This window comes from Homo sapiens, chromosome 7 (assembly GCF_000001405.40).
Source record: "Homo sapiens chromosome 7, GRCh38.p14 Primary Assembly".
Classification (NCBI taxonomy): Eukaryota; Metazoa; Chordata; class Mammalia; order Primates; family Hominidae; genus Homo; species Homo sapiens.
Genome location: NC_000007.14, coordinates 158,254,568 through 158,282,443, shown reverse-complemented (window position 1 = coordinate 158,282,443; position 27,876 = coordinate 158,254,568). Strand labels below are relative to the sequence as shown.

At 56.1% G+C, this 27,876-nt stretch overlaps 1 protein-coding gene across 14 annotated transcripts in view, besides 3 other annotated features; it reads left to right on the top strand.

The window, feature by feature from the left end:
• The window catches only part of PTPRN2 (protein tyrosine phosphatase receptor type N2), a 1,048,768-nt gene that overhangs the window by 305,380 nt on the left and 715,512 nt on the right, over window positions 1-27,876 (top strand). The gene's annotated exons all lie outside the window — the stretch shown is intronic.
• Window positions 530-1,272: an enhancer, noted in NCBI's record as "H3K4me1 hESC enhancer chr7:158073864-158074606 (GRCh37/hg19 assembly coordinates)". NCBI's record gives its function as "activates a minimal SCP1, AML or CMV promoter by ChIP-STARR-seq in naive H9 embryonic stem cells {active_cell/tissue: H9 hESC(naive)}" and the evidence as "EXISTENCE:reporter gene assay evidence [ECO:0000049][PMID:30033119]".
• Window positions 5,202-5,946: an enhancer, noted in NCBI's record as "H3K4me1 hESC enhancer chr7:158069190-158069934 (GRCh37/hg19 assembly coordinates)". NCBI's record gives its function as "activates a minimal SCP1, AML or CMV promoter by ChIP-STARR-seq in primed H9 embryonic stem cells {active_cell/tissue: H9 hESC(primed)}" and the evidence as "EXISTENCE:reporter gene assay evidence [ECO:0000049][PMID:30033119]".
• Window positions 21,166-22,076: an enhancer, noted in NCBI's record as "H3K27ac-H3K4me1 hESC enhancer chr7:158053060-158053970 (GRCh37/hg19 assembly coordinates)". NCBI's record gives its function as "activates a minimal SCP1, AML or CMV promoter by ChIP-STARR-seq in naive H9 embryonic stem cells {active_cell/tissue: H9 hESC(naive)}" and the evidence as "EXISTENCE:reporter gene assay evidence [ECO:0000049][PMID:30033119]".

Here is a 27,876-nt window from a genome sequence, read left to right as displayed (position 1 = left end):
TGCGTCTCCTAGACCCACACACCTCTGACGCATGGCCCCGCAGTACTTCTACATTCACTGGCAAGTTCCCACATTGTGTAGTCAAAGACAGTTGCTTCATTATAGAGTTTAACAATAAAATACTCTTTTTTCATCTTACTTTTGATAAGCTACTTTCCCAAGACAGACGGAAAAGACCAGTTACTCAATTGTTGGTTTTTATATCTTGGGTTTACTATGCTGAGTGACGATTTGTCTGAAAATAGAAAGGAAAAAAAAAAAAAAAGGCAGAGCCACTCCTGAGACAGTTGGGTTCTTAGCGGCAAAGGACCCTGTTAACACAGGCTCAGTTTGACTTGAGTTCAGGGCTTCTCAGGAGAGGATCCTGAGGCCTGACTGTCCCTTCTGGGAACACAGTGTTCTCTAACCCTAGACAGGAGGCCAGGTCTCTTAAGAGGCAGATTTCCATGCGACCCAAAATGTCTGGGAGACGATGGCTGGGCTTTGAGCTGGGAGCCTCTGGAAGGAGAAATGGCTTTTGACCCTGTAAATCCTGCTCCTCTGGTGACCAAAGTGAGTTATGCGGGGCTCAGAGTAGCTGAGACTGTTCACACCTCAAAAGAACTAGCAGGGTTTATTCTGGCTTTACCCATGGTTGACTCAGACCTTTGTCAAGAAACTTCCTTTCTAGGAGCATGGATGGGGATTTTGGGCTCTCCTGGCTCCTGGACTCCTTGGGGTTTGGGGCGTGGCAGGAGGTGGGTGCAAAGCCAGCACCAATGCAAAGGGCCCCAGGCATGCCACACACCTGAGCGTTTGCACGGGACGTGGCAGGAGGGGGGTGCAAAGCCAGCACAAATGCGCAGGGCACCACGCACACCACACACCCGAGCATTTCCATGCACCTCTGTGCTCTTAGCCAGTCTGGATCTGTGTCTTCATAGCAGACTGTGGGCATATGACAATGTCTCTTATACTGTAAAGTTACATGCAAATGGCTGTGCCCATCCGCTTGGATTTTGGTGACTATGTTCTTGATGAAAACACACAAAGCATGCACTCCTGGTATTCCTATTTGCCTTTGTTATTTAGGAGTATGTGTATGACTCTACTACTGTTTTATATGCTTTTAAACCATACACAAAATGTATTTGCTTATTTTCATTTTTATTTTTTGAGACGGAGTCTTGCTCTGTCACCCAGACTGGAGTGCAGTGGCATGATCCCAGCTCATTGCAACCTCTGCCTCCCCGGTTCAAGTGATTCTCCTGCCTCACTCTCCCAAGCAGCTGGGATTATAAGCGCGGCTAACTTTTGTATTTTTAGTAGAGGTGGGGTTCACTATGTTGATCAGGCTGGTCTTGAACTCCTGATCTCAAGAGATCTGCCCGACTCGGCCTCCCAAAGTGGTGGGATTAGAGGCGTGAGCCACTGCGCCCAGCCCTCAAGATTTAAATGGAAGCTGTGATGACGAGCACATGGCTTTGAGCCTGCACCACCTCTTTAGACTCTCGCTAGCCTATGTTTCCAGAGCACCGTGTAGCCGTGGGCCGGCGCAGGGCCTGGCGCCTGTTCACAGCGTGCTGGTTCTGGGCACAGCTGCCGTGAGGCCTCCCCTCCCGCTTTCCATCTTTGTCATTTCAGTCTCGGGAGACCTTCTATTTCTCTACTTTAGACAGTTGAGCTCTCTCTGCAAACAACACTTCCATTGTTCAACATTTGGGAAAATTTTAAAATTGATAACACGTTCCTCAGCAAAAAAGGGGTTTAATGACGGTGGAGAAACTCCACGGCCGCGTCTCTACGCAGTGTCGGGCCGCACCCGTCCGGCTCCCCCAGGCTCTCTCGGCTCCTCCTTTCATCTCCTGGTTCTCTCTCCATCTGCCCTCTCCACCCGGTATCTCAGGGCTGCTATGAAAGGTCTTCAAAGACCTAGTTTCAAAAAACATCCCCTGGAGAGGACCAATTAAACGCAGAAGGATGGTTTGTGTGCAGAGGCTGAGCCGTCAGAGTAGAGATGATCCTGCGTTCCCAGGTAGAGCCGCGGCTCCTGCCCTCGTCGCTGTCCCTCCCTGCCGGTGTCAGACCAAAGCCAGCGTCCTTACCGACCCCCAGGCAGGCTCTGCCGGCCTCCCCTAGGCAGCCATGGCCCCCGACGGGGTTAGCCACCTTCTCATGGCTGCTGCCTCTCTTCGCAGCTTCAGGCCGGAGAGGACCTGCTTTCCGATTGGGCCCGGGAAAACCAGATGTGCTTGAAGGCTGTGGATTTAGGATTTGGTGTTCCAGATATGGAAGGGACACAATTCATATTATGCGGTCTGTGAAACAATGATTTGACAGGCCAGTTAAAGCATTAGACGAGTTTAAACTGCTTGAGAGCAAACTGCTGTGTCTTGGTGCAGTTTGGGGGCAGCGGTGGGGCGTGGGGGCCGCCGCGGGGCTCTGTGGGTTCGGGGGCAGCGGTGGGGCGTGGGGGCCGTCCGGGGCTCTGGATTAAGTGCACAGACCTCGACTGTCTTCACGGAACTAAGGAGACCTTTATTTTACCTGGCACACCGTGGGGTCAAGTCCACATTGAGAGGTGATAACGTGCTAGCAGCCCTCGCTCACTCTGGGCGCCTTCTCTGCCTCGGTGTCTGCTCTGGCCGGGCTCGAAGAGCCCCTCAGCCCGCTGCTGCACTGTGGGGGCCCCTCTCTGGGGCTTGCTGAGGCCGGAGCCGGCTCCCTCTGCTTGCGGGGAGGTGTGGAGGGAGAAGCGCGGATGGGAGCCGGGGCTGCACACGGGGCTTGTGGGCCGGCGCAGGTTCCGGGTGGGCACGGGCTTAGCGGGCCTGGCACTCCGTGGGACTGGCCGGCACCTGCTGGGCTTGATTGGAGGCTGGATCCCGTGAGAGGACTGCCATTCCCTCTTCCCTGGGTCGTTGGCCATGATGGTGGGTCTCTGTCTCTTTCTCGCTTCCCCTCTTTTTCTCTTGGTTGTCTGGGACGAGCTCCCATTGGGCTGCCTGGAGTGCCCGGGCTAGGGGCCACAAAGTCCTGCAGCGAGTACCAGTGAGAGGTGAAGCTGGCTGGGCTGCTGGGAGGGTGGGGACTTGGAGAAGTTTTCTGTCTAGCTAAAGGATTGTAAATGCACCCATCAGTGCTCTGTGTCTAGCTAAAGGATTGTAAATGCACAAATCAGCACTCTGTGTCTAGCTAAAGGTTTGTAAATGCACCAACCAGCACTCTGTCAAAACGGACCAGTTAGCCTCTGTAAAATGGACCAATCAACTCTCTGTAAAATGGACCAATCAGCAGGATGTAGGTGCGGCCAGATATGGGGATAAAAGCAGGCTGCCAGAGCCAGCAGCAGCAAACCGGTTGGGTCCCATTCCACAGTGTGGAGGGTTTGTTTTTTTGCTGTTCACAGTAAGTTTTGCTGGTGCTCACTCTTTGGGTCCTCACTACGTCTGTGAGCTGTAACACTCACCTCGAAGGTCTGCAGCTTCACTCCTGAGGCCAGTGAGACCACAAATCCACCACGAGGAATGAACAACTCCGGATATGCTACCTTTATGAGCTGTAACACTCACTGTGAGGGTCTTCAGCTTCACTCTTGAAGCCATAGAGACCACGAACCCACTGGGAGGAATGAACAATTCTGGATGCGCTGTGTTTATGAGCTGTGACACCCACTGCAAAGGTCTGCAGCTTCACTCCTGAAGTCAGGGAGACCATGAACCCACCGGAAGAAAGAAACTCTGGACACACCTGAAGGAACAAACTCTGGACACACCATCTTTAAAAACTGTAACACTCACCGCGAGGGTCCGCGGCTTCATTCTTGAAGTCAGCGAGACCAAGAACCCACCAATTCCGGACACAACATGTCCATCTACATCAGGAAGTTGTGGGTTCTGGGCTTATTGGTTTGTATTGATTGTTGGTTTCGAGAGAGAATTTCAGTTTGTTGCCCAAATGGTGCGATCTCAGCTCACTGCTACCGGTTCGAGCAATTCTCCTGCTGCAGCCTCCCACGTAGCTGGGATTACAGGCGCCCACCTTCACCCGCAGCCTCCCGCGTAGCTGGGATTACAGGTGCCCACCTTCACGTCCAGCTGAATTTTTTTTTTTTTTTGTATTTTAGTAGAGACGGGGTTTCATCATGTTGCACAGGCTGGTCTTGGGATTTGACCTTGTTTCCTCCTCCCTGGGGTCAGAGGTCCCCTGGCAGGTGGTGGGTGGTCCCTGCATTCGATTCCCATTTCCCTGTCCACTGGGAAGTGTATTCTGGAAGGAAGTTCCTACATCCTTCTGGCTCTAGGAATGTTCTAGACATGTTACGTGCTGAGGCTGGTGGGGCAGGCTCAGGCCTCCTGCAGACGCCTGTTTTCTCATAGGAGCCATACTTGGTCCCCGGCCACCCCGGGCCTTGGATCTGATGATTCTCTGGGTGTGTCAGACAAGGACCTGGCCTCCCTGTTATGTGCTGGAGGTCAGGGAGGTCAGGAGCAGGGCTGGCACCTCTAACTCCCATCCCCCCCTTGTGTGCCTGGTGGTCCTGCCCGGCTGAGAGCCTTTCTCTTAGACTCTGCCGCAGCCGTGATGCCAGACAGGAGAAGCCAGGGAGGGCATGGGCTGCTCCCTGAAGGCGGATTCCTCTCCCCAGGTGGGAGGAGGAGCCTCTGTAGCTGCCCTGGGCTGCTCCTCTTTCCCAGGGTGGCCTGACCACAACCCCGGCCGGGCAAGGGAGTAGGGAGGACCGTACAGAGTTTCTCTTCCCCAGCTCATTGTTTTGGAGACAGACTTGGAGGCAAGGCCAGAGCTATATGTCCCAGCCCCTGCGTGTGCACCTCGTGCAGCAGTGTGGCAAGGCCCTGACAGTGCCTTCAAGGGGTGCTTCTGGCAGGCCTCGGGAGCTGTGTGATGAGGAGGAGACTTGGGAGAGCGCGGGTTAGGTCCTGGCACTGTAGCCGCCTCCTCTTGCTGATTTCAGGGGTCAGTGTTTTCAGGGTTCATCTCCTTTATAGGGCAGACTTGAGGGCTTCAGGTACAAACGTCCGTGTCTCCATCAGGCCTGGGCCCGGCCTCCTCCGTCTGGAGCACATTCCTCTGTGGTCTTCAGCATTGGTGCCCGTGGAGTGGCTGAAGCCCTGACTGCCCGTTGTGGCTGAGGTGTGGGACCGAATGGCGAACAGAGTGGGCAGGACCCCGAGGAGGCTGGAGGCCGATTCGCACAGGCTGCCGTCATCTCACCGCTCTGACAGTTCTTAAAGCAACAGTGCAAGAGAAATCCACTGCGACGTGAGAAGAGCATGTTTATGTGCACGTGTATGTGCGCGTGTGTGCGTGTGCGGGCACGTGTGTGTGTGTGTGCACGTGTGTGAGAGGATGGCTTCTGACGAAGGGGCTGTTCATGGAGCTCTGATCAGCCACTCTTGCCCGTGGGGATCTTGCAGGGTCCGACCAGTCAGTGCCCCCCACCCCACCCTGTTAGAGGGGACGGAGCCCGGTCCTCACCCCGCTGTGGGCTGCCTGAGAGTTTGGCTTCTCCCTCCAGAGCTGATAGACAGCACCTGAGCATATGGCCCCCTCGGCCCCAGCTCACAGTGGCATGCCTCGCACCCTCCGCCCCTGCCTCCACTACGAGGAGGCCGCCCGCACACCTGGGGAGGCATATCCTGCCAGCTGAGCGTCCCCAGGCCGACGTCCTTCCCAGCCATGGCATCAGGGCCCCGCAGCAGCTGGTGTCATAGCACCCACATCCATCAGCTTCCCTGGAGCCCCTGGCACAGTGCTGTGTGGGCCTGGAAACGCTGGAAGCATGGTTTCATCCCTCAGGAAGCTGGTGGTTAATAAATGGGGCCAAGTTAATAAAGAAGGAAGCTACCAACAAGGCCATGCGGTCACCACGACTGCCCAGGGCCAGGGTGTGGGGGTGCTGCCTTACAGCCTGTCGGGGCCGGGGTGTGGGGGTGCTGCCTTACAGCCTGTCGGGGCCGGGGTGTGGGGGTGATACATTACAGCCTGTTGGGGCCGGGGTGTGGGGGTGCTGCCTTACAGCCTGTCGGGGCCGGGGTGTGGGGGGTGATACAGCCTGTTGGGGCCGGGGTGTGGGGGTGCTGCCTTACAGCCTGTCGGGGCCGGGGTGCGGGGGTGATACATTACAGCCTGTCGGGGCCGGGGTGTGGGGGTGCTGCCTTACAGCCTGTTGGGGCCAGAGTGTGGGGGTGCTACCAGGACCGGGATGTGGGGGTGCTACCTTACAGCCTGCCGGGGCCAGGGCAGGAGCTGTGCTTCAAGGGCAGAGAGGCTTTCCAGGTGGACAAGGGACGAACACTTGGGGAGGGAGGGAAGGTTCAGATGGAAGAGGAAGCTGAGAGGAGACGCACCCCTGGAGGCAGCTGGCTGACCGGTGGGCTCCCAGGAGACTGTAGGATTTGTGCAGATAAAAGTCAGGCAGCAGAGTCAGAGGGCAGCCATAGCACGTGTAAGGCGGCGGGGATGCTGACAGCAAGACGTTTTCTGGAGAATCTGGGTTTTACTGCAAATACAAATTCACTGTTCTCAGGATGGCGGAGGGACCAGCTCCTTGGGAAGGTCACCCCCTTGGCCACCTGTTGTCCCTGAGGGGCTGATGGAGGGAGGAGGCCACCTTATGAACTGCACCAGGTCCGTGGCTTTGGCGGTGGAGGCCCCATCACTGCAACTCTTCTTCTGGGAGTTCGGCTCTGCCTGCCACACGTGGAGGTGCGCAGGGTGGGGGCCAGCCCTGGCAAACCCACCCCACATAACGTAGTACCTCGATTCTCACCAAAGAACAAAAATTACTTGCGATTACGTGCAATTAGCAATTTTAAATTATTAATGGTGGTGAAAGAATGTGTCTATTCAACAAGTAATTTATTGCAATTTTTGTAATTGAAAGTAATTTCTAGCAATTAAATCCTAATTTAGAGCATTTTCTGGGCGACGCCTTTATTCATGGGGTGCACGCCAGTTTTATTGTTGGCTGCTTTGTTCCAGGCACTTTGTCCAGTAAAATTTGCTGGGTAGGCTCTTTGGGAAGAGAAAAATAGCCGAACTCTAGGCAATGTAGAAAAAACAGAGTGGGTCTGCCAGCACAGTGAAGCTGTGGCTTCCCTGGAGAGGCGTGAGGAGGTGCGCGCCTTCCCATGGAGACAGCCCTGCAGCTTGTTCAGAGGCCCTCCGAGGAAGTGGGCAGGCACCTGGGCCAACGTCCAGGGAGCACGTCTCTGTGGCCCCGAGGCGCTGTCCCCACTGTCCCCACAGCCACGGTGCTGTCCCTGCTGGAGGCTGGTCCAGGCTTGGCCACTGGCTTGAGCTCTTCCCCGGGGCTCCTCGGCACTGCTGCCGGCCCCTGGGGACTTCATTGTTCTGTCTCCTCTTTCCTGGTAAGAACACCCTTTACCCTCAGAAGGCAGCTTTTTGAACCCCACAATCAGAAAGTGCTCCCTATTTTGGGGGGAGACAGGACTCTGCTACGCCCCAGGAGTTGATCTGTGGTGGATTTGAATATAAAAGGCAGCCAGGAGATGGTCTTTGTCGAGATCTTATCCCTGATGAAGTCTCTTCTTTGTCAAGTAGCAAATAAATATTCGGAATGAATTCTTCAGAAACAAAATGACCTGTGTTTCTATGTGAAATGCAACCACGTTCTCCTCCAGAAAGCTGCAGTCAGGCTCCCTGTGTGTGGCCACAGCGTGATTCCTGGTCATGGGGTGACTCCCCCCGTAGGGTACCTGAGCCCCTCTGGGCCCCACACCTCAAATGCAGATGCAGTAATGTCGTCCCAGGCAGCAGGAAGCCACGCGGCCCCTCCACACATTTCCACAGCGTTCCCAGGAAGGCTGCTGACAAGCTGGGCCGAGCGCCTCGGGCTCGTCCACACACGCTAGATCCCGGAGTGTGAGGGTGTCTGTGGCTCCCCCTGTGCCTGCGGCTCCCCCGTGCCTGTGGCTCCCCCTGTGCCTGCGGCTCCTCGTGTGTCTCCTCCTGTGTCTGCGGCTCCCCGTGTCTGCGGCTCCTCCCATGTCTGTCTGCGGCTCCCCCTGTGCCTGTGGCTCCCCCTGTGCCTGCGGCTCCCCCTGTGTCTGCGGCTCCCCCTGTGTCTGTGGCTCTCCCGCGTCTGCGGCTCCCCCTGTGGCTGCGGCTCCTTGTGTGTCTCCTCCTGTGTCTGCGTCTCCCCCTGTGTCTGCGGCTCCCCGTGTCTGCGGCTCCCGTGTCTGTGGCTCCTCCCATGTCTGTCTGCGGCTCCCCCTGTGTCTGCGGCTCCTCGTGTGTCTCCTCCTGTGTCTGCGGCTCCCCCTGTGTCTGCGGCTCCCTGTGTCTGCGGCTCCCCGTGTCTGCGGCTCCTCCCATGTCTGTCTGCAGCTCCCCCTGTGTCTGCGGCTCCCCCTGTGCCTGCGGCTCCTCGTGTGTCTCCTCCTGTGTCTGCGGCTCCCCCTGTGTCTGCGGCTCCCTGTGTCTGCGGCTCCCTGTGTCTGCGGCTCCTCCCATGTCTGTCTGCAGCTCCCCCTGTGTCTGCGGCTCCCCCTGTGTCTGCGGCTCCTCCCGCGTCTGTCTGCGGCTCCTCCTGCGTCTGCGGCTCCTCGTGTGTCTCCTCCTGTGTCTGCGGCTCCCCCTGTGTCTGCGGCTCCCCCATGCCTGCGGCTCCCCCTGTGTCTGCGGCTCCCCGTGTCTGCGGCTCCTCCCATGTCTGTCTGTGGCTCCCCCTGTGTCTGCGGCTCCTTGTGTGTCTCCTCCTGTGTCTGCAGCTCCCCCTGTGTCTGCGGCTCCCTGTGTCTGCGGCTCCTCCCGTGTCTGCGGCTCCTCCCATGTCTGTCTGCGGCTCCCCCATGCCTGCGGCTCCCCGTGTCTGCGGCTCCTCCCATGTCTGTCTGCGGCTCCCCCTGTGCCTGCGGCTCCCCCTGTGTCTGCGGCTCCCCGTGTCTGCGGCTCCTCCCATGTCTGTCTGCGGCTCCCCCTGTGCCTGCGGCTCCCCCTGTGCCTGCGGCTCCCCCTGCGTCTGCGGCTCCTCCCGCGTCTGTCTGCGGCTCCTCCCGCGTCTGTCTGCGGCTCCTCCCGTGTCTGCATCCACGACGCTGGGACAGGGCTGCAGGCAGTGCTTCTGCCCTTGGTTCTGCATCTCCTGGCCTCCCCAGCAGGCAAGGAGCTCACAGTGTGGGCTTGCGGTGGGTGCTCACTGGCCATAAACGTTCGGTGTCATTTTCAAGACAGAGAAACAGCACACGCAGGGCCCTGGAGAGGCTGCCTGGAGCTCCACGTGCCCTGTCCTAGGAGGGTTCCTCCCCTGCGAGCTCACTCCCGAAGGGCACTCGAATCCTGCAGCTGGGGCCTGAGTCCTCTCTCCCCTTCGTCCCACAGCCCTGGGTCTTGTCTTCCTTGTGGCTGGAGTTGCAGCTACAGCACAGAGCTCTTCCCCTTTACATTCTGAGCTGTTTGGAGGCCCATGGCCACTTTCATATTCCCTGATGCTCAATAAATGATGAATGAGTGAAACGAGAGTCCCAAACCGTGGGACTGTCAGCAGAGTCTGCATGCACCGGGCTGGGGGGCAACACAGCCAAGCCCCATCAGCTATTGACTGTAGCTTCCTCCTGGTCATTCCTGATCCTTCCATCCACTCAGCCTTCCCACCTCTCCTTCTGCCGGCGGCACCTCCCCGATGGCCCTCACACCTATGAGGCCCTGGTTTCACCTCACTCTGCAGTCTGGTGAAAGGGATCTGGCAGATGCGACTGTCTCCATCCTGAGGGCTTATCCCGGCAGTGGCGCTGAGACCTCCCCTCACCTGGTGCTCCGAGATTTGACTCTGTGAGGTTGGCTCCTGCCTGGACTCAGGCTTTCAACCCTGGTGTCTGGGGTGCAAGGCAGGTGGGCCGCGTGCGGTGTCTTTGAGGTGGGCTGCCGTTCTGGTAGAGAGTGAGGGGATGTGGAAGTTCCATGCAGACTGTATTTTCTGGGCAAACCTGCTCAGTGTTTTTGGTAAGTAATGCCTAAAATTCAGGACTCTAATTGAAGGTATATCCCTACTTCTGACTCAAACCACTTGAAAAACTCAGTCAATAGACAGTGACGTTGGGACCCAAGTCTTTAAAGCTCTGCTGCAATTCTCATCCTTGACCGTTGGTACCGGGCAGTTGCAAAAGGCTGAGCAAGTACAGCCCAGGCAGGGAGACCACAGGGCCTGCCCGGGCCCCGGAGACGCGGCTCTCCGAAGACAAGACGTCCCGGGGGGCTGTTTTTCCATTTGGACCAGTTCCACTTGGCTTGAGATGGGCTTCACTCTAGACCCTCCTCTGCCAGCTCAGCACGAAGTGTGCATAGTCACCTGATGGCACCCTGTGATCATTTTCACGTTGTAGGAGGAAAAATCGTTTTAAAATTGGCTTAAATGAGGAGGGAACAACCTGACCGTCTTTTGATGGTGCAGCTTTTAACCCTAAAAGAATGTCAAACGAATTCATTTTTGTATATAAGTACAAATTACTTATTAGTCACAATTGCCATAGCGACTGAAGGTTTGTGTCCGCCTACCCCACGCCTCCAGTTCCTACATGGAAATCCTCACCCAAGGCCATGGTGTTAGGGGCCTTTGCAAGGCGCTGAGGCCCTGAGGAAGAGCCTCACGGATGGGCTAATGCGCTTCTGAAAGAGGCCTCAGGACGCTTCTTCACCCCTTCTGCTGTGAGATGACAGGGGAAGGCCCAACCAAAAAGTGGGCGCTCACCGACACCGAATCTGTGGGTATCTCCAGAACTGTGAGAAAGAAACCTCTGTTGTTTATCAATTACCCAAGCTATGGTATTTTCTTATAGCAGCCTGCATGGGCTGAGACACCTATCAAGTGAGTTATTAACGTTTATTAAAATTTGGCACAAACTAAAAGCCAGCAGTGTCTGCAGAGAAGCTGGATTGCCCCATGGGGCTTGGCTGTGTTGCCCCCGTCCCGTGCATGTGGACTCTGCTGAGAGTCCCACAGTTTTGGGAAGGACCCTGATGAATTGTGACCATTGGTATTGCTTAGCGTTGATTGTGGCTTTTCATTATAAATTATGTAATTGAATACTTTAATGATAAGTTGTGGCTAGTCCAGCTTCAACAGTATGGATCTGCCGATTGTCGGATATTCAGTTAATTATGCAGTGTGTGGAGAGGATATATGTGCATCAAAAGCATTTAATCCAAGAATTCCAGTGACTGGGTGTCATTTGGTGTTTTGCGGCTGACCGCTGCATTCACAACACAAGAGAAGCAGCACGTGACCTCTCCTGGCCACCCACTAGAGTCGAATTTTGTTTCCATCCCACAGTTACTCCCTCTGGCACACCCCAGGTGGAGGGGGTGGTCCAGGTGGAGGGGGCAGCCCAGGTGGAGGGGGTCGTCCAGGTGGAGGGGGTGGCCCAGGTTGGGGGGAGGCCCAGGTGGAGGGGGCCGTCCAGGTGGAGGGGTGGTCCAGGTGGATGGGGAGGCCCAGGTGGAGGGGGTGGTCCAGGTGGAGGGGTGGTCCAGGTGGGGGGGTGGTCCAGGTGGGGGGGGTGGTCCAGGTGGGGGGGGTGGTCCAGGTGGAGGGGGTCATCCAGGTGGAGGGGGCGGTCCAGGTGGGGGGGCGGTCCAGGTGAGGGGGTCATCCAGGTGGAGGGGGCGGTCCAGGTGAGGGGGTGGTCCAGGTGGAGGGGTGGTCCAGGTGGACGGGGTGGTCCAGGTGGAGAAGACGGCTCAGGTAGAGAAGGCACCCCAGGGAGAGGGGCAGCCCAGTAGAGGGGTGGCCCAGCAAGCTCCCAGGGAGAGGGACAGCCAGGTAAAGGGGTTGGCCCTTCTGCAGCTAACAGTGGTCGAAACCTTCCCTTATTACTGCCCTGAAAGGACTCAGTTTCCCCTGGGGTGTTCAGCCCTCAATTGTGATAGCAGCACCCACTGCAGGGGGCCTGGCCTGGTCATAGGCAGAGGGAGCCAGGGGGTCGGGGGCACGTTATGGCCAGTGAGTGAGGCTCATCTGTCTCCGGTAGGATCACCCTCTGTGAAGGTAGCAGCTTGCACCTTGTTGACCAGTCACCAGTGACATGGAGTGGGGCCAAGGAGGCGTCCTCACCCCGAGAACCATGCCTGTGCTCCCAGTGCCCCCGCCTGGCTCCCGCTCTGCACCTATAAAGCTGGCCTTTGTGCTGGCCCTTCTGCCTTCTGGCCATGACTTGCCTTGCTGACCTGCCCTTGGCCGGTGGAGCCTTCCAGGCAGCCTCTGCCCACGGGGCTCTCCAGGCCCTGAGTCACTGCTGGCCTGACCAGTTCAGGTGTCCTGGCTTTTGCTGTGGGGCGTCTGTCCTGGGTCTCCTGATGGTCCAGCTCTGGGCTCCCCTCCACAGTGAGCAGCCCCTCCTGCAAAAGCTCTGGTTGGGGCACATCCAAGGTCAGAAGAGGCAGATTGCAGGTCAGGCAGAGAGTGGACGGGCAACTGCTGGGACTCTGTCTCTGCTGTTCTCTGGCTATCTCTGTCTCTGATTCTTTCTCTCTGTCTCCCTGTGTCTCTCTATCTCTGTCTCTCTGTTTCTCTGTCTCTATGTCTCTGTCTCTCTGTCTCTCTCTGTCTCTTTCTGTCTCTCTCTGTCTCTGTGTCTCCGACTCCCTATCCCTCTGTCTCTTTCTATCTCTGTCTCTGTCCCTCTCCTGCTCCCTTTGTCTCTCTCTCTGTCTCTGTTCCTCTGTCTCTGTCTCTCTCTGTCTCTGTCTCTCTGTTTCTGTCTCTTGGTCCCAGCCGTCAGCTGACTTTGCTGTCCTCCTGGGCCCTGGCAGAACCACCTGGCAGGCTCCCGTCCTGTGCCATCCTGGACCCTTCACCATTGTTCCTACTCTGGCTCAGAGCACTTTCTTCTTGAAGCATCCTTTACCCACCCCAGGGACTTGAAAACTGGATTTGAAAATGCCAAATAGTTTTAAAATTAGAGCTGCAGAATGTCTTCCCCAGAGCCCAGACTTCCCAGGTGTCTGGGAAGCAAAGACAGCCAGCCTGGGCTGCAGGTATGCCCCGGGGACTGGGCACAGGATGGCAGCTGCTCACATTTATTGGCAGCAAAGGTCAAAGCAGAAACCAGGTGTGATGACGGGGATGGCCGCGCCTCCTGAGGCTGGTGTTTGGGCCTTTCTGCACCAGGCATGGCCTTGGCATTCAGGGTTACACTGCTAGGTGAGGGCCGTCTCCTTGTTCTCCTTCCATAGATGAGGAGACGAGGTTTGGCGATGGGAGGGAGCATCTGGGGCGGGGTCGGGCAGGGGCTCCTAGGAGGCCCCTTTGGGGCATTTTCCCTGAAGGCCACTCCAACAGAAGGTGGGGGTGACCGGAGGCAACAGTGGCGACTCCTGAGGGGCCTTGGAGCTCCTCCTGTGCTCCTCCGTTCAAAGTTGGGCAGCAGCCGCCACGTCCTTCCTAGAAAACAAAGCCGGGGAGGTTCAGTGTGTGCGTTCAAAAAGCTGCGATTTTCAGGCCCGGCAACGGCTTTCAACAACAATGTGGCTGCGATATTTCACACCCGCCCTGTGTGCACGCGGCTGGGATATTTCACACCCCACTCTGTGTGCGTGCGGCTGGGATATTTCACACCCGCCCTGTGTGTGTGCGGCTGGGATATTTCACACCCACCCTGTGTGCGTGCGGCTGGGATATTTCACACCCGCCCTGTGTGTGTGCGGCTGGGATATTTCACACCCGCCCTGTGTGCGGCTGGGCTGGGATATTTCACACCCTCTCTGTGTGCGGCTGGGCTGGGATATTTCACACCCTCTCTGTGTGCACACGGCTGGGATATTTCACACCCGCCCTGTGTGTGTGCGGCTGGGATATTTCACACCCGCCCTGTGTGCCTGCGGCTGGGATATTTCACACCCGCCCTGTGTGCGTGCGGCTGGGATATTACACACCCGCCCTGTGTGCGTGTGGCTGGGATATTTCACACCCGCCCTGTTTGTGGCTGGGCTGGGATATTTCACACCCACCCTGTGTGTGTGCAGCTGGGATATTTCACACCTGCCCTGTGTGCATGCGGCTGGGATATTACACACTCGCCCTGTGTGCGTGCGGCTGGGATATTTCACACCCCACTCTGTGTGCGTGCAGCTGGGATATTTCACACCCGCCCTGTGTGCGTGCGGCTGGGATATTTCACACCCGCCCCGTGTGCACGCGTCTGGGCTGGGATATTTCACACCCCGCTCTGTGTGTGTGCGGCTGGGATATCTCACACCCCGCTCTGTGTGCGTGCGGCCGCGGCTCTGATGCTTTTGCAGGCGGCATTGTGTCACTGATTCACTTAGGGGCTCTCTAATTAGCTGGCGGCTCAATGAGCTGTGATTGCAGGTGAGACACAGACTTGTTGACGGTGCTGAGGATCTCGTGCCTTGAAGAGCGCTCAAATGGGCTGTCACACCACGAGGGTGAAACAGTTACCCAAATACAGTCACTGGGGCAGCATCTCTGTGCACATAACCCAGTGTGCGTTTAAATGGCAAGCTGGGAAGAGTCAACTGCATCAGCTTCTCTCTAAATTACGGGCTGGAGGTGGCAGGGAGGTGAGGTGAAGGAGGTAGGAAACAGTGTTCCTAAGTCCGTGGTCACAGCTGGTCACGTGGAGAGATGCCCAGAGCTCTTGCTGTAGAGTCAGGAAGAACAGAAGCTCAGCCTGGCATAGAGGTTGGGTTTTTTGCTGCCCTTGGTTTGTACACAGCACTAAAAATGTTTCTGAGTTTAATCTACTTAAATGATGGAAGGATATGAGAGAGGTGAGAGAGAAGGCCTGCAGAAGCTTAGGCTGTGCCCACAACGGCTCTAACCAGGAGCTCTCAGGGGCGAGGGGCAGGCCCCCAGGCCACGGTGATCCCGCTCAGATGCTCAGTCACCCCCGTGTAAGGGTTCCCACTGCCACCTCCTTGAGGTGGAAGGTGGGGTGTGGAGCCCACGTCCATCATCTCCCTGAATTCCTATCGCTTTGACACCTGGAATTCCTCTGTGCTGCAGGCAGGGTCTGGGCGTTGTCCACAATCAACACTCACACAAAAACATGCTCCCTGGCTTCCAGGCGGCTCCAGATGGAGAGAGCACACACCCTCCCCAGTGTCCCTTCTAACAAGGTTGCTGTGAGCACCACGCCCCCGGGGTTCCCCGCGGGAACCAGCTCTGCCGGGCCAGCCGGTCAACTCCAGCACCCAGCACCCATCATCCCGTGTGCTCACAGTGCCTCGCTGCTCGGCTAACAAGCAGGTTGGCAGGTCCCTTTTCCTGACTGGCTCCTTCCTGATTAAGCAGCTTTTAAAATTCCACGCAAAGTGTCAACATTTCTAGATCTCTTAAATGCAAGAGCTTCCCGAGTGCCAGGCGGGACCTGCCGCGGGTGTGGGGCTGTCTGAGGTGCCAGTCACTGGAGACGACGCTGCAGATGAGGCACCTCCCCTGCAGCTTCCCCGCCCTTTAGTGACACGGAAAGTGGAAGCCAGACATCTTGGATGTAGACGTGGGAGGGAGCTGGGGTGGAGGCAGCTGGGCCACCCCACCACCCCTGAAGGCCGGCCCCACAGCGGCATCTGAACCACCAGCCAGGGCCACTGGAGCCCACTTTCCTGTTTGTGCAGCCAATGGATGAAGTTTTAAAAATTTGGCATATTTGAACTCCATTTTTTAATGGGGTCAGGCAATGTACTTTGAATTATTTATCAGACTGAATTCAATCTTCAAAAATTACAGAACTCTCATCTCTCTGCCCAGGTTAAAGCCGGGAAGTGGCTCTCGTCTCTCTGCCCAGGTTAAGCCGGGAAGTGGCCGTTGTGCCTGTCCTGAGGCCGCTGCTGCTGGGTCCCTCTGTCAGGCTGTTCCTCAGTTCACGGAATTCAGGCCTGATGCTCACAGCCACACTGGCCCCGGCTCTTTCTGCCAGACATCACACCGCAGCAGACACCGTCCCCAGCCTCACTGCCAGACATCACACTGCAGCGGACACCGTCCCCAGCTTCACTGCCAGACAACACCCCGCAGCAGACACCATCCCCAGCCTCACTGCCAGACAATACCCCGCAGCAGACACCGTCCCCAGCCTCACTGCCAGACAATACCCCGCAGCAGACGCCGTCCCCAGCCTCACTGCCAGACAATACCCCGCAGCAGACGCCGTCCCCAGCCTCACTGCCAGACAATACCCCGCAGCAGACGCCGTCCCCAGCCTCACTGCCAGACAATACCCCGCAGCAGACGCCGTCCCCAGCCTCACTGCCAGACAATACCCCGCAGCAGACGCCGTCCCCAGCCTCACTGCCAGACAATACCCCGCAGCAGACGCCGTCCCCAGCCTCACTGCCAGACAATACCCCGCAGCAGACGCCGTCCCCAGCCTCACTGCCAGACAATACCCCGCAGCAGACGCCGTCCCCAGCCTCACTGCCAGACATCACACCGCAGCAGACACTGTCCCCACTGGTCCTCCAGACCAGGGGTCCCCAACCCCTGGGGAGGCGAAGGAGCCCTGCGCCTCTGTGGGGTCTGAGCATGCTAGAGAGAGAAGCTGGGCAAACAGATGGGGTGGACGCAGCCCCCACGCAGACTCTGATTCTGTGTTCCATGGCGGGGCTCTGTGGGCCTCCACCCAAAGGCAGGGCTGAAGCTCCTGCTGATGGGGAGCCAGGCGGCCTCTGGCCACCGCCTTTGATGTGTGCCTGGACCATGTCCTCATGGTGCCTCTGCTCATTCATTTCCAGCTGTACTCATCAAATGCCACGCTGTGTACCCGGGGCTGTGCTGCTGGGCAGCCTCACACAGTTCTGCCAGGCCTCCTGCTGAGGCACTTCTCTGAGGGCTGGTGATAGACTGATGATGGCACCAGGTGATCCCTTCACCCAGAGTCTGGGACCAAACAGAAATGTGCAGAGGGCAGCCTGGCAAGGGGGCTGTGCAGAGGGTGGACATGGGGGGATATATGCACCTGTGGGTGGGTGCCTGCAGGTGGGTGCCTACCTCCAGGTGTGTCCCGTCGGTGTGTACCTGCCTGCAGGTGTGCCCACAGGTGTGTGCCCACAGGTGTGTGCCCGCAGGTGGGTGCCTGCCTGCAAGTATGTGCCCATAGGTATGTACCTGCCTGCAGGTGTGCATCCACAAGTGTGCCCCTGCAGGTGTGTGCCTGCAGGTATGTGCTCGTGTCTGTGTCAGGGGCCTCTGGGGACCACTCTGAGCCACATGGGGGTGTTTCCAGCACCAGGAGCATAGTGGATGGCAGGTGGGGAGCCAGGTCAGTGGGAGGCCACTACCGAGAGGCCTTGCTAGTTTCTGAGCAAGTCACTGCTCCACCGGGCCAGGGGCCTGCGGAACACATACGAAGCATGCACTACCTTGGGGGCTGGGAGGTAGCCTACCTGGAGCAGATAGAAAGTGACCTGGGGGAATGTCACCAGGCTTGGGGGCTGTGGGGCCTGGAGTAGGAGAGCCCATGGCCAGGAGGGCTGTTGTGAACAGGCGGACCTCGACTGCTCTAGCAGGTGAGGGTCAGGGGGCTCTTCGTGTAAAGGCAGAAAAGGGAGGGAAGAGGAGGAGGACCCCAAAACTCCATGGGACAGCTCCTCCCGGGCATCAAGGAAAGTGCCAGCAAGGACCAGGGACCCCACGTGAGAAGCAGCATCGCTGTTCTGGAACCCTACCAGGAACAAGAAGGTGCAAGCTGGCTTTTCGGAATGGGGCAGTTTTCAGTGCACACTTGAGGCAGTCCTGGAGCCTGGGCATGGAGGAAGAGCATTAGGAGAGAGCCCACGGCTCCTGGCTCCCGGCCTTTGGTCCCCGCAAGGGACCTGAGACCATTTGGAGTCTCGAGGTGAATCTGGGGCAGTGAGTCTCTTCCTAGACTGTTGCAAGGGCCATCTCGATGGTCCCCACTGTCACCTGCTGCCACCGGCTGCTGCAGGTACCCATGCACATGTCACGTGTGGCCCATGGCGATCTGTCGTATGGACAGGAGTGTGGCTTAGGCGGTGAACTTCAGGCTGTGTGTGTCCAGCATGTAGGAAGAGCTCAGCACGATCTTTGGACCGTGTGTGTCCAGCACGCAGGAAGAGCTCAGCAAACTGCCCTGGGAAGCTACCTTCACTCCACGGTGCTTTGAGTGGTAAATGATTGTCTAACTTGAGATGTCAGTGTGCCAGCGTCTCAGTGCAGTTCCATCTGGATATGTATTTTATTTCCCCTACTGAATTGCATGGTTTTATTTCTACCACGACATTTTCAGGCGGTCGTTACCAACTCTAAACAGAGGCTCATTCTGCCTGACGCGCTGCTGCGGCTGTTCGTTAGGGACAATGTTATCAGCAAGCCTTGACTAGAAGGTGAGGAGGCTTGGACTTTCACCATGTGACCTCCTTCTAAATAATAACCGTTTGCCGCTCCAAAGTCCTGCACTGGAAGATGAAGGTGGGAAGCGTGAGAGTGGCAGGGGTAGAGTTGGACTTGAATTTAGGGAGCCCAGTGGCTCTAGATGAAGTTGGTCAGCTGGCCCACATCACCGTGGAGTTTGCTGAGTGACGCGGGTGTTCAGCCACCTCCGCTGGGTGCAGGGTGTGCTAGGGAGGTGCTGCTCTCTGGCTCGGCCGTCATTGCAGCCTTGCTTTCACATTTTCAAGTGCCTCTCACTCAGTGTCCCATGCAGGGAGGTGTCCACAACTGGCAGGAGGTTCTCCCCAGGTGCCACGGGTGCTTTGGAGGGGTCCCTGGTGGGAAAAGGGCCGTTGAGGTGCTGGGCGCCCACCCATGGCTGTGCCTTCCCCTTAGCCAGCAGGCCACAGAAGCCAGGAGCTGGAATGCCCGGGAGAGGAATTTGGAAGTAGACCCTCACCCAGCACCCAGAGGCTCTGTGGCAGAGCGATGGGAAATACACAAACAACGGTGGGGCAAAGTCCTCCAGAGCAAGCTGAGCAGATGCTGATGGGCCTGCCCCAAACCCAGGCAGCATGGGGTGAGGAAGCCCCTCCTGTGGGATGCGGTCGGGAGAAGATGGCTGTGTGTGTGTGCCTGTGTGTGTGTGCATGTGTTTGTGCATTGTGGATGAATGTGGATGTGCACGTGTGTGTACAGTGTGCATGTGTGTGCTCATATGTGTACACATGTACATGTGCAGTAGGTACAGCTGTGTGTACACCCACACACGGTGTGCACATGTGACTGTGAGTGCAACACGTGCAGTGCATGCACAAGTGTGTAAATGCATGCATACAGTAGGCACATGCGGGTGCACACAGGTACCGCATGTGCAGTGTGTGTGAATGTGTGTGCAGTGTGTGTGAATGTGTGACTGTGTGCAGTGTGTGAATGTGTGTATATGTGTATGTGTGTGCAGTGTGTGTGTGCAGTGTGTGAATGTGTGTGGTGTGTGTGATGTGTGTGTGCAATGTGAATGTATATGTGCATTTTGTGAATATGTATGTGTGCACTGTGTGTGAATGTGTGTGTGCAATGTGTGTGAATCTGTATGTGTGCAGTGTGTGAATGTGTGTATGTGTGTGAATGTGTGTGTGCAGTGTGTGAATGTGTGTGCAGTGTGAATGTTTGCAGTGTGTGTGAATGTATGTGTGTGCAGTGTGTGAATGTGTGTGAATGTATGTATGTGTGTGTAGTGTGTGAATGTGTGCAGTGTGAATGTGTGTAGTGTGTGAATGTGTATGTGTGTAGTGTGTGTGAATGTGTGTGTGCAGTGTGTGTATATGTGCAGTGTGTGAATGTATGTGTGCGCAATGTGTGTGAATCTGTGCAGTGTGTGTGAATGTGTGTATGTGTGAATGTGCGTGCAGTGTGTCAGTGTGTGCAGTGAATGTTTGCAGTGTGAATGTATGTGTGTGTGCAGTGTGTGTGAATGTGTGTGAATGTGTGTGCTGTGTGTGAATGTGTGTGTAGTGTGTGCAGTGTGTGAATGTGTGTATGTGTGCAGTGTGTGAATGTGTGTGCAGTGTGTGTGCATGTATGTGTGTGCAGCGTGAATGTTTGCAGTGTGTGAATCTGCGTGTGCAGTGTGTGTGAATGTGTGTATGTGTGTGAATGTATGTATGTGTGTGTGCAGTGTGTGTGAATGTGTGTATGTGTGTGCAGTGAATGTTTGCAGTGTGTGTGAATATGTGTGCAGTGTGTGTGAATGTGTGTGCAGTGTGTGAATGTGTGTGCGGTGTGTGTGAATGTGTGTATATGTGTTGCAGTGTGCATCTGTGAGTGTGAGTGCCTGTGTGTCCATGCAAGTGTGTATGCTTGTGTCTGTGTTTACATCAGGAAAGCAGGGGAGGGAGGCAGGAGTGAACCGGGGAGGCCTCAGACTTTGGGGCAGTCACTGTGGCCTCGAGGGTGTGACCCTTAACATCCCCTGCTGGACGTAGGAGCTCTTCGTGCTCTGGGAACCGTAGGTGGCCTCCGTGCTGCAGCCACTGGCACCTGGGAACCAGGGGCTCAGGGCGGCTGTGGCCCCTCCTGTTGTCACAGTCACCGCGGGAGGAGGGGCAGAAGTACGGCGCAGCCACCACGGGCTTTAGGGCCAAGTGAGCTCCTAGATTCCTCCCTCCTGAGCACTAACTGTGTGGGGAATTAGCTTCTCCTGAAATAACGGGAAGCCCCGTCAGAATATTCGAAATGCAACAGACACAGGTTTCCTAAAATCGTCCGTAGTGCCTGGAGCTCAGGTTCTGAGGGTGGCTCATGGCGGTGCCCTGAAGAGGCTTCTGCATGGCGTCTTCCACAGAGCTGCTGTGTCCTGGCGGTGTGCATGCCCAGACAGGGACCCATGTGTGCTGGGGGGAGCCTGCGGTCCCGGAGTGCACCCTGCTGTTTTATCCTCTTCGTGTGCTCTATGGAGTGGACGTCCACATTCTGGCTCAGGATGGGTGGCTGGAGTCCCCCAGGCACCAAGCCTCTGTCTCTAACTGGCAGGGGAGCCATCCCTTCCCTTCTCACCTGTGCAGGACAGGGCTCAGTTTGCAGGGAGTCGCTGGGCCCTGAAGCCCTTCCTTGGCCCATCGCTGCCTGTGAGCCCCTGAGGCTTGGGCTGGGTCCCTGCCAGGATCACACAGTTGGGAATCTGGGGAAGGGATTGTGTCTCACAAGTTCGTGTGCTTTATTATTTCCCAGGGGCTGTTACCTCCCTCCCCCTGACTCCTTGCCCTGTCCAAGCTCCATGTGGCCTGGTGCTCCCATCTTTCCGGGAGCTTCTTCCCGCTGCCCGGCCTGCTTGTCTGCATGCAGGCCGACCCTGGCCTCTGCCACCTGCTCTCTGAGCTGCCCGTAGGCAGGGTCTTCCACCTTCCACCATGTCCTGGGGTGCGCTGGGAAAGAGCTCGGGATGGGCACTGTTGCTGACGCTGACACAGACTCAGCCAGTCGGAGCCTCACGCCCCCCTTGCTGGATACCCCAGGTCCCATCACAGTGCAGCTTCTCAGAGGAGTCACTGTATCTATTGTGCCCAGACCTCCTACAAGTGGCTCTGAGGGCTGAGCTGACCCTGGAGGGACAGGCCCCCTCCTGCCCGTCTGCCTCCTCTCTCCTCCCCTGTCTCTCCTGAGACATTAGGAGCTCACACTCCTGCCTGAGGACCTGCCAGAGTGGCAGGGCATGCTGGGTCCCGGCCTGTGCGACTGATCAGCTTTCTCTCCTGGCTTCTGGGTCAGGAGGAAGGAGCCGTCTCTGCCAGTCTTCCCCTTGTGTAGGCGTGGCAGCGAGGGTGTTTTCTGGAAATGCCAGCCTGAGGCTTGGGGTCTTGCCATCTTCAGCCCCACGGAGCGCTAGTGGCAACAGCCAGTTTGTGTTTGTGTGTGGGTGTGTTATGTGGACGGGGATTTTAACCTTACTATCAGCATTAGAATGTCCGTAGGATAAATGTCATGGTTGTTTTGCTTTTGTTTTGGGGTATTGTGGGAGTGCATACTTTGGATTCTATAGGCCCTCTGGGCTTTATTCAAATAGACTCTTTTTCTAGGCCTTCTGAAGAAGTCGTATCCGGTTGTGTCTCTGCTTCTGTTAACCATGATTTATGAATGCATGCATTACTATACATTACTGACAAATTATTTATAAAGCAAACTTTTGTGTATAAAGTCTTATTTCCCCATGGAATTATTTAATAACATTTGAGCTGTGTGCTGAGAAGGTGTTTTTGCAGGCACTGATATGAAAGCTTTTGTCAAGCTAGCTGACTTGGGAAGGCAGCCTAGGGCGGCATCCTGGCCTGAGAGTCCTCAGCATTGCTAATTGGCTTTGCTTTGTCGTGTTTTAGGCAGCCTGGTGACTGTACTGATGTGCTTCTCCAAACCCCACAGAGAGACAGCAGGCATCTTGTCTGCTAGGCATGCAGGCGTTCTGGTTCTCATGTGCAGAATATGCACACAGACGTGCACGCACATACACACAAATATGTGCATGCACACACATGTACACACAAACGCACATACATGTACACCAGGGACACATGGACACACAAACACATTCACATATGTGTACACAAAGGGACGCGTGGACAAATACATATGTGTATACCAGAGACACATGGACACAGAAACACATGCACATATGTGTACTCATGGACACATGGACACACAAACGCACATACATGTACACCAGGGACACATGGACACACAAACACATTCACATATGTGTACACAAAGGGACACGTGGACAAATACGTGTATACCAGAGACACATGGACACAAACACATGCACATATGTGTACTCATGGACACATGGACACACAAACACACATACCTGTACACCCGGGACACAAGGACACACAAACACATGCATATATACATGTACACACAGGGACACATGGACACAGCCATGCTGCTCCCTGGTGAGGAGTGGGAGCAGGTGGGATCCCCGGGAAGAGTGAGTCCCACTCTTGGGCTCTTGTTATAAATCCACCTTTGGCAGACACGCCCTCCTCTAATTTCCCAAGGAACATGCCAGCCGTTGGTGCCGACGGTCTTTGGTGGAGCCTCCAGAGCCTCCTTTAGGCTTTTCCCAGGGGCTCTGAGGGGTGTCTGTGATGTCACTCTTCCCTGCAGCACAGCAGCAGCTGCGGGTTGTGACGTGGGATGAGAGGCCGCTTGCCCTGCCCGGAAGGGTGGCTCTGTGCCCTGCATGGGCCACCTGCTTCCCTGGCTCTTCTCCGTGTCCTGCGTGGCCTGCCTGCTCCCATGGCCCTTCTCTGTGGCCTGTGCCTGTGGCCCTTTAGCATTGTGTTGGTTATCAAACTGCCATTTGTCATTTATTTGTGCATCTGCCTTGAGCAACCTTCCACTTCCGGTGTCTAGAAGTTCTGCTCCTTGTCACTCCATTTGGAAACTGAGCTCTCACTCAAGAGACGTTTGCAGCATCAGGCAGCAGAGGCATCAGGGGTCCTCACGGGGACATGCACAAGGGGTTTCACAGGCGTTGCTGGTGCTGCTGCCTCAACCCGTCCTGCTCCTGCTTCCTGCCTCCCTGTACCGACGCTGCACCTCCCTCACCCCACTCTGGATCCTTTAGTTGAAATCAACTCTTCCACATTCGTCTCCTAGCCGGTGTGTCTACCCAGCACGACCACGCAGTGCAGGCCTCGTGGACAGACCTCGCGTGGCTGCAGGAGACTTCTGGCTTCCTGGGACCTTGTGAAACCAGATCCCCAAATGTTCCTCCCTAAAGCTTAACAATATGAACAACAAATAGGCCAAAACAAACAGATACAGAAGCAACAAGGAAAACCCTGGATGCCATTCCAGCAGAGCCAACGGCTGGTGGTTGCTGAAAAAGCAAGAGAATCCACCTTCCAGGAAAGGCTTCAGGGAAGGCCCTGAAACCTCTGAAATCTCCCCCAAAGCTGTGACTGGGGGGCAGGGGAGGAGACACAGACCCTTCCACAGAGGTGGTATCTGATGTGGTCGCCCCCATCCTACCAGAGGCTGGATGCAGAGGATCAGCAGGGCGGCCACCCAGGCAGCTCCCTCCGTGGAGAAGCACATGCACATGGAGTGCGTACTCACAGGGTCGTCTCGCGGCGATTCATAGAAATTTAAATTAAATGCAGACAACAGAAAAGACAAGAACTTAAGAACTGGAGCAGGAAGGAGGCTGATGATAGCAGAGTGTGAGACGCACCAGAGCCCTTTCCACGCCAGTCGCGCAGGGCAGGGGCTGCACGTGGAGATGCCGGGGGAGGCGTCAGCGGCTGATTCAGGACGGCCTGTGTTCACCCTGGAGCAGGCTCTGCAGCAGACAGAGCGGAGGAAATGTGGTGTGTGGACGTCGGGAATGCTCCAGGAGAAATCCCAGGTGAGAAGGAGCCGGGGCAGCCATGCTGTGAGCTGTTCTTACGTGCCCGCTTGGAGATTAGTTCTATTTGGGTCTCTTAAACTGTCAGGCTCCCGCCCAGTTATCTTACCTGAAGCAGAGTAGGATTCAGGCTGCAAAGTGAAAACTGCCTCTCAAGAAAGCCTTAGGTAAAAAAGAATGGATAGAAGGTAGCTATGATGAGACCCATCCCACTCTCAGCTCATGTGATGAGCTGAGGCAGCGCTCAGAGGAAGAGCTGCTGTCACCGCGAAGCCAGGGTACTGTCAGCTGACAGCAAGGAGCCCAGCAGGGGAGGGCATGGGCTGTGGCCCTCACCAGCTCCTCTGCAGGCGGGCTCACCCCTGGCACGCACGCCATCCCTGTGATTCTCATCATCAGGGCAGTTCCAGGTCAGCGCCGTGGGGCTGGGCGGGGGCAGTCACCGCCGCAGGTCTTGGTCAGTCCTCCAGGAGCGGAGCTGCAGGGTTGGATCCTTTGTACAGTGGGTGAGACCCAGGCTGAGCGAAGTGGGCTTGAAGCCTGGGGGCTCAGACATTTCTCGCTGCTGCACGCTTGCTCACCCAACTGGGGGCTCGGGGTCGTCCAGCACCACAGTCCTCTTATCCTATGATTCCCAGAGCTTGAGGGCCCCCCAGAAGGAAGAGCAGAGTTCCAGATTGAATACAGGATGCCTGACTGGATTCGAATGTCAGAGTAACAAGAAAAAGACGTTTAGCGCACGTACAGCAGGTCCTCAAATCACGCCATCTCATTGTAACGCTGAGGAGAAAAGAATCAGCCAAATCTGGGATGTAGACTCTCTGAACATTTGGTTCCTGTGTAAGTTTTTATTTAAAGGAAGGATCCTACCCCAGAAACACGCCACAGGTTTCTGTGATCAAACCTGAGGGGTCGGGTTCCGCGTCTGACTGCGTCCTGAGCAGCCGTGTGCCCGGGTCTCTCCACACGCTGGTCCAGGGCAAACCCCGCCTGCTGACCTGGGTGGTAGACAGAGGATACTCGAAACCTCTTTGAGCATGATTCTGGTTGTCCGGGTCCCTCATTCAACTCCATTTCAACCCAGATCCCAGGGAAAGCAGGGATCTGACTGGGCTCTCAGTCTGCCTTAGCAGGTTGTCTCATGCCTGTTCCAGGGAACTAGGGGTCCGGAATTTACAGGGGATCTTCTGAAACCCAAGCTCCCAGACGGCAAAAAGCTGGTAGCTTGAAGGACCTTATTCCTCGTTTTGGCAGAATAAACTCACATCCATGTTTCTTTTTGCATAAGTTTAGGTTATAGATAGATTTGATTATTCCACAATTTCTTAGAGACTATATTTTTTGGGAAAAATACTCTTTTCTACTCCAAGAAAGATAAATTTTATTACAGATGGTGAATCATTCCATAAACTTCCTATTAGGGCTGAGTTTAATTTTAAGCTCGGGCAAATTCTATTGCTCTCAAGCCACCAGGGTAGTGCATGGTTGTCCAACATGGAGCTTCTGCTGGGCGCCCAGCTGCTTGAGTCCTGCCCTCTTCTCTGCCGTCATCACTTGTCCTCACGGGAGCTGCCTAGGTTCCCCCCCGCCCCCGCCAGCTTCTGTCTCCTCCACCACCTTTCCTCAGGTACCTGAACCAATAGGTAGGTCTTCCGGGGCCTTAGTGTATTTCTAAAACTGCCAATGGTCCACCATCTAAAACTTTTTAAAATTCCACATGGCGCGGACCAGAATAATGGCCCTGCACTTGTGACTGGCTGGTGACCTTGCTCCAAGGGTGCACGTGACAACTCCTCTCAGAGTGAGGAGAAGCCTCGGTGCCCTCTTGTCCCCCTCAGCAGAGGCAGCCGCGGGGTCCCTGCCACGTCCACTTTCCTCAGCCAGTCGGCATCAGACTCTGAGTCCCAAGAGGTCAGTCCATTGTGTGGGGGACAGAGCTTGGTCCAAAGCTGTGCCTATGGGAGACAACAGAAGAGGACCATCAAAGCATCGTCGTCAACACTCCCTGCCCACATCACCTTTGCACAGAGATTCTGCAGGCAGGCCTCCCCCGAAGGTCCTGCAGTAGACACGGGACATCCCTGGATGAGACAGAACACACAGCACCTGCAGGGTTCTGATCACGGCATCCAAAATCAAACCCGCTGAGAAGCTGGAGTCAGCACTGGCTCTCCCAGCAAGGGGTTTCCTGTGGCATCTAAGTCTGAGGACAGAGGTAGTTCTGAGGCTGGGTAGTTCTGAGCATCGTCTGGTTTAGAAGGTTTTGCTCAGTGGGTCCAGCTGGAACAGGCAGAGAAAGGTAGTCAGGCAGTGAGGACGGGTGCCCTGAGGCTTAGTGCCAAGCCCCAGGGACAGGAGGGCCCATTGGCCTCATCAGCTGGCGAGCCCAGGGCAGCCAGAAAAGAGTGGCCAGGAGCTTGGTGCATGGGGTGGGAGGGTGGGTCAGGGCCCAGTGCAAGGGTGCGGCGGACAGCACAGCCCCAGCGGGAATGGAGTCCTCGAAACTGTGAGACTCATAGTTTGGTAAAAACATTTCCAAAGCATCCTGAATGGACAGAGGGCTCAACACCCCTCACTCCACAAAAAGCTACATGATTGTGTAATTCTCTGTACACACATACTGTCCTCTGCAGTTCCCCAAATCCGTGAACCACTTTTAATCCTGAAGCTGTCGTGCTGAGGCAAGTTCAGGTTAAATTTCAGCAAGGTGGTTCGGCCGCGGATCTTTGGTGGTGGAGTGGCCGATCCTCTTGTTCCCCACAGGAAGGCAGCATTCCCTGTTCCCTGTGGCCGTGGACTCCTGCCCTGGGCCTACTTTCTTCCAGAGCCCGGCCCCTGGAGGCTGAACCAGGCCTTTTGGTTTCCTCTGTGGTGTGATTTGAGAGATGCTTGTAGAAACGGTCAGATAAGCCCCAAACATCTTCCTCAGCTGTGCTCGCGTGAAGTCTTGCCCTTGGTGATCTTGTTGGGTAGATCATTGCCTTGTCTGGGTCTTTAGCCAAAGAACCTCCCTTGCTCACACGTCGTGAAGCCTGCAGGGGCTTCTGCGAGGGAGCTTTTGGGTTGCTCTGTGTCACTCAACACCAGAAGACAGGAACCTCTATACAAAGAACAGGTCCTGGACGTGGGTGAGCAGGGAAGGGATGTCCTAGGAAAGACAGCAGGGGAGGGACATGAATTTCTCCTTTTCTGCAGCTTCTTCCTGGGCCTGGGCCATGCCTCGGGATTTTCCCTGTAACACCATGCTTCGCATTTATTATTCGTGTCCAGATCTATTTTGCTATAGAAAGTAGACATGTCTAAGAAGTAAACTGCAGGATGAGAAAGTTTAAATAATTTGTTTCTTCAGGTGCAAAGATGACTGTCGTAGTTTCCTGTCCTGTAGGGAGGTGAAACTCATGCCCTCTGCTCCTGAACGCAGAGAGGGAGGGCTGTACATTTTTACTGCTGTGTGCAGCGGTGGCTCTGTGCCACTGTCCAGTTACAGGGATGCTCCTGAACGTGGAGATGGAGGGCGGGTCGTGCCGTGGGCAGTGGCTCTGTGCCACTGTCCAGTTACAGGGATGCTCCTGAACGTGGAGATGGAGGGCAGGTCGTGCCG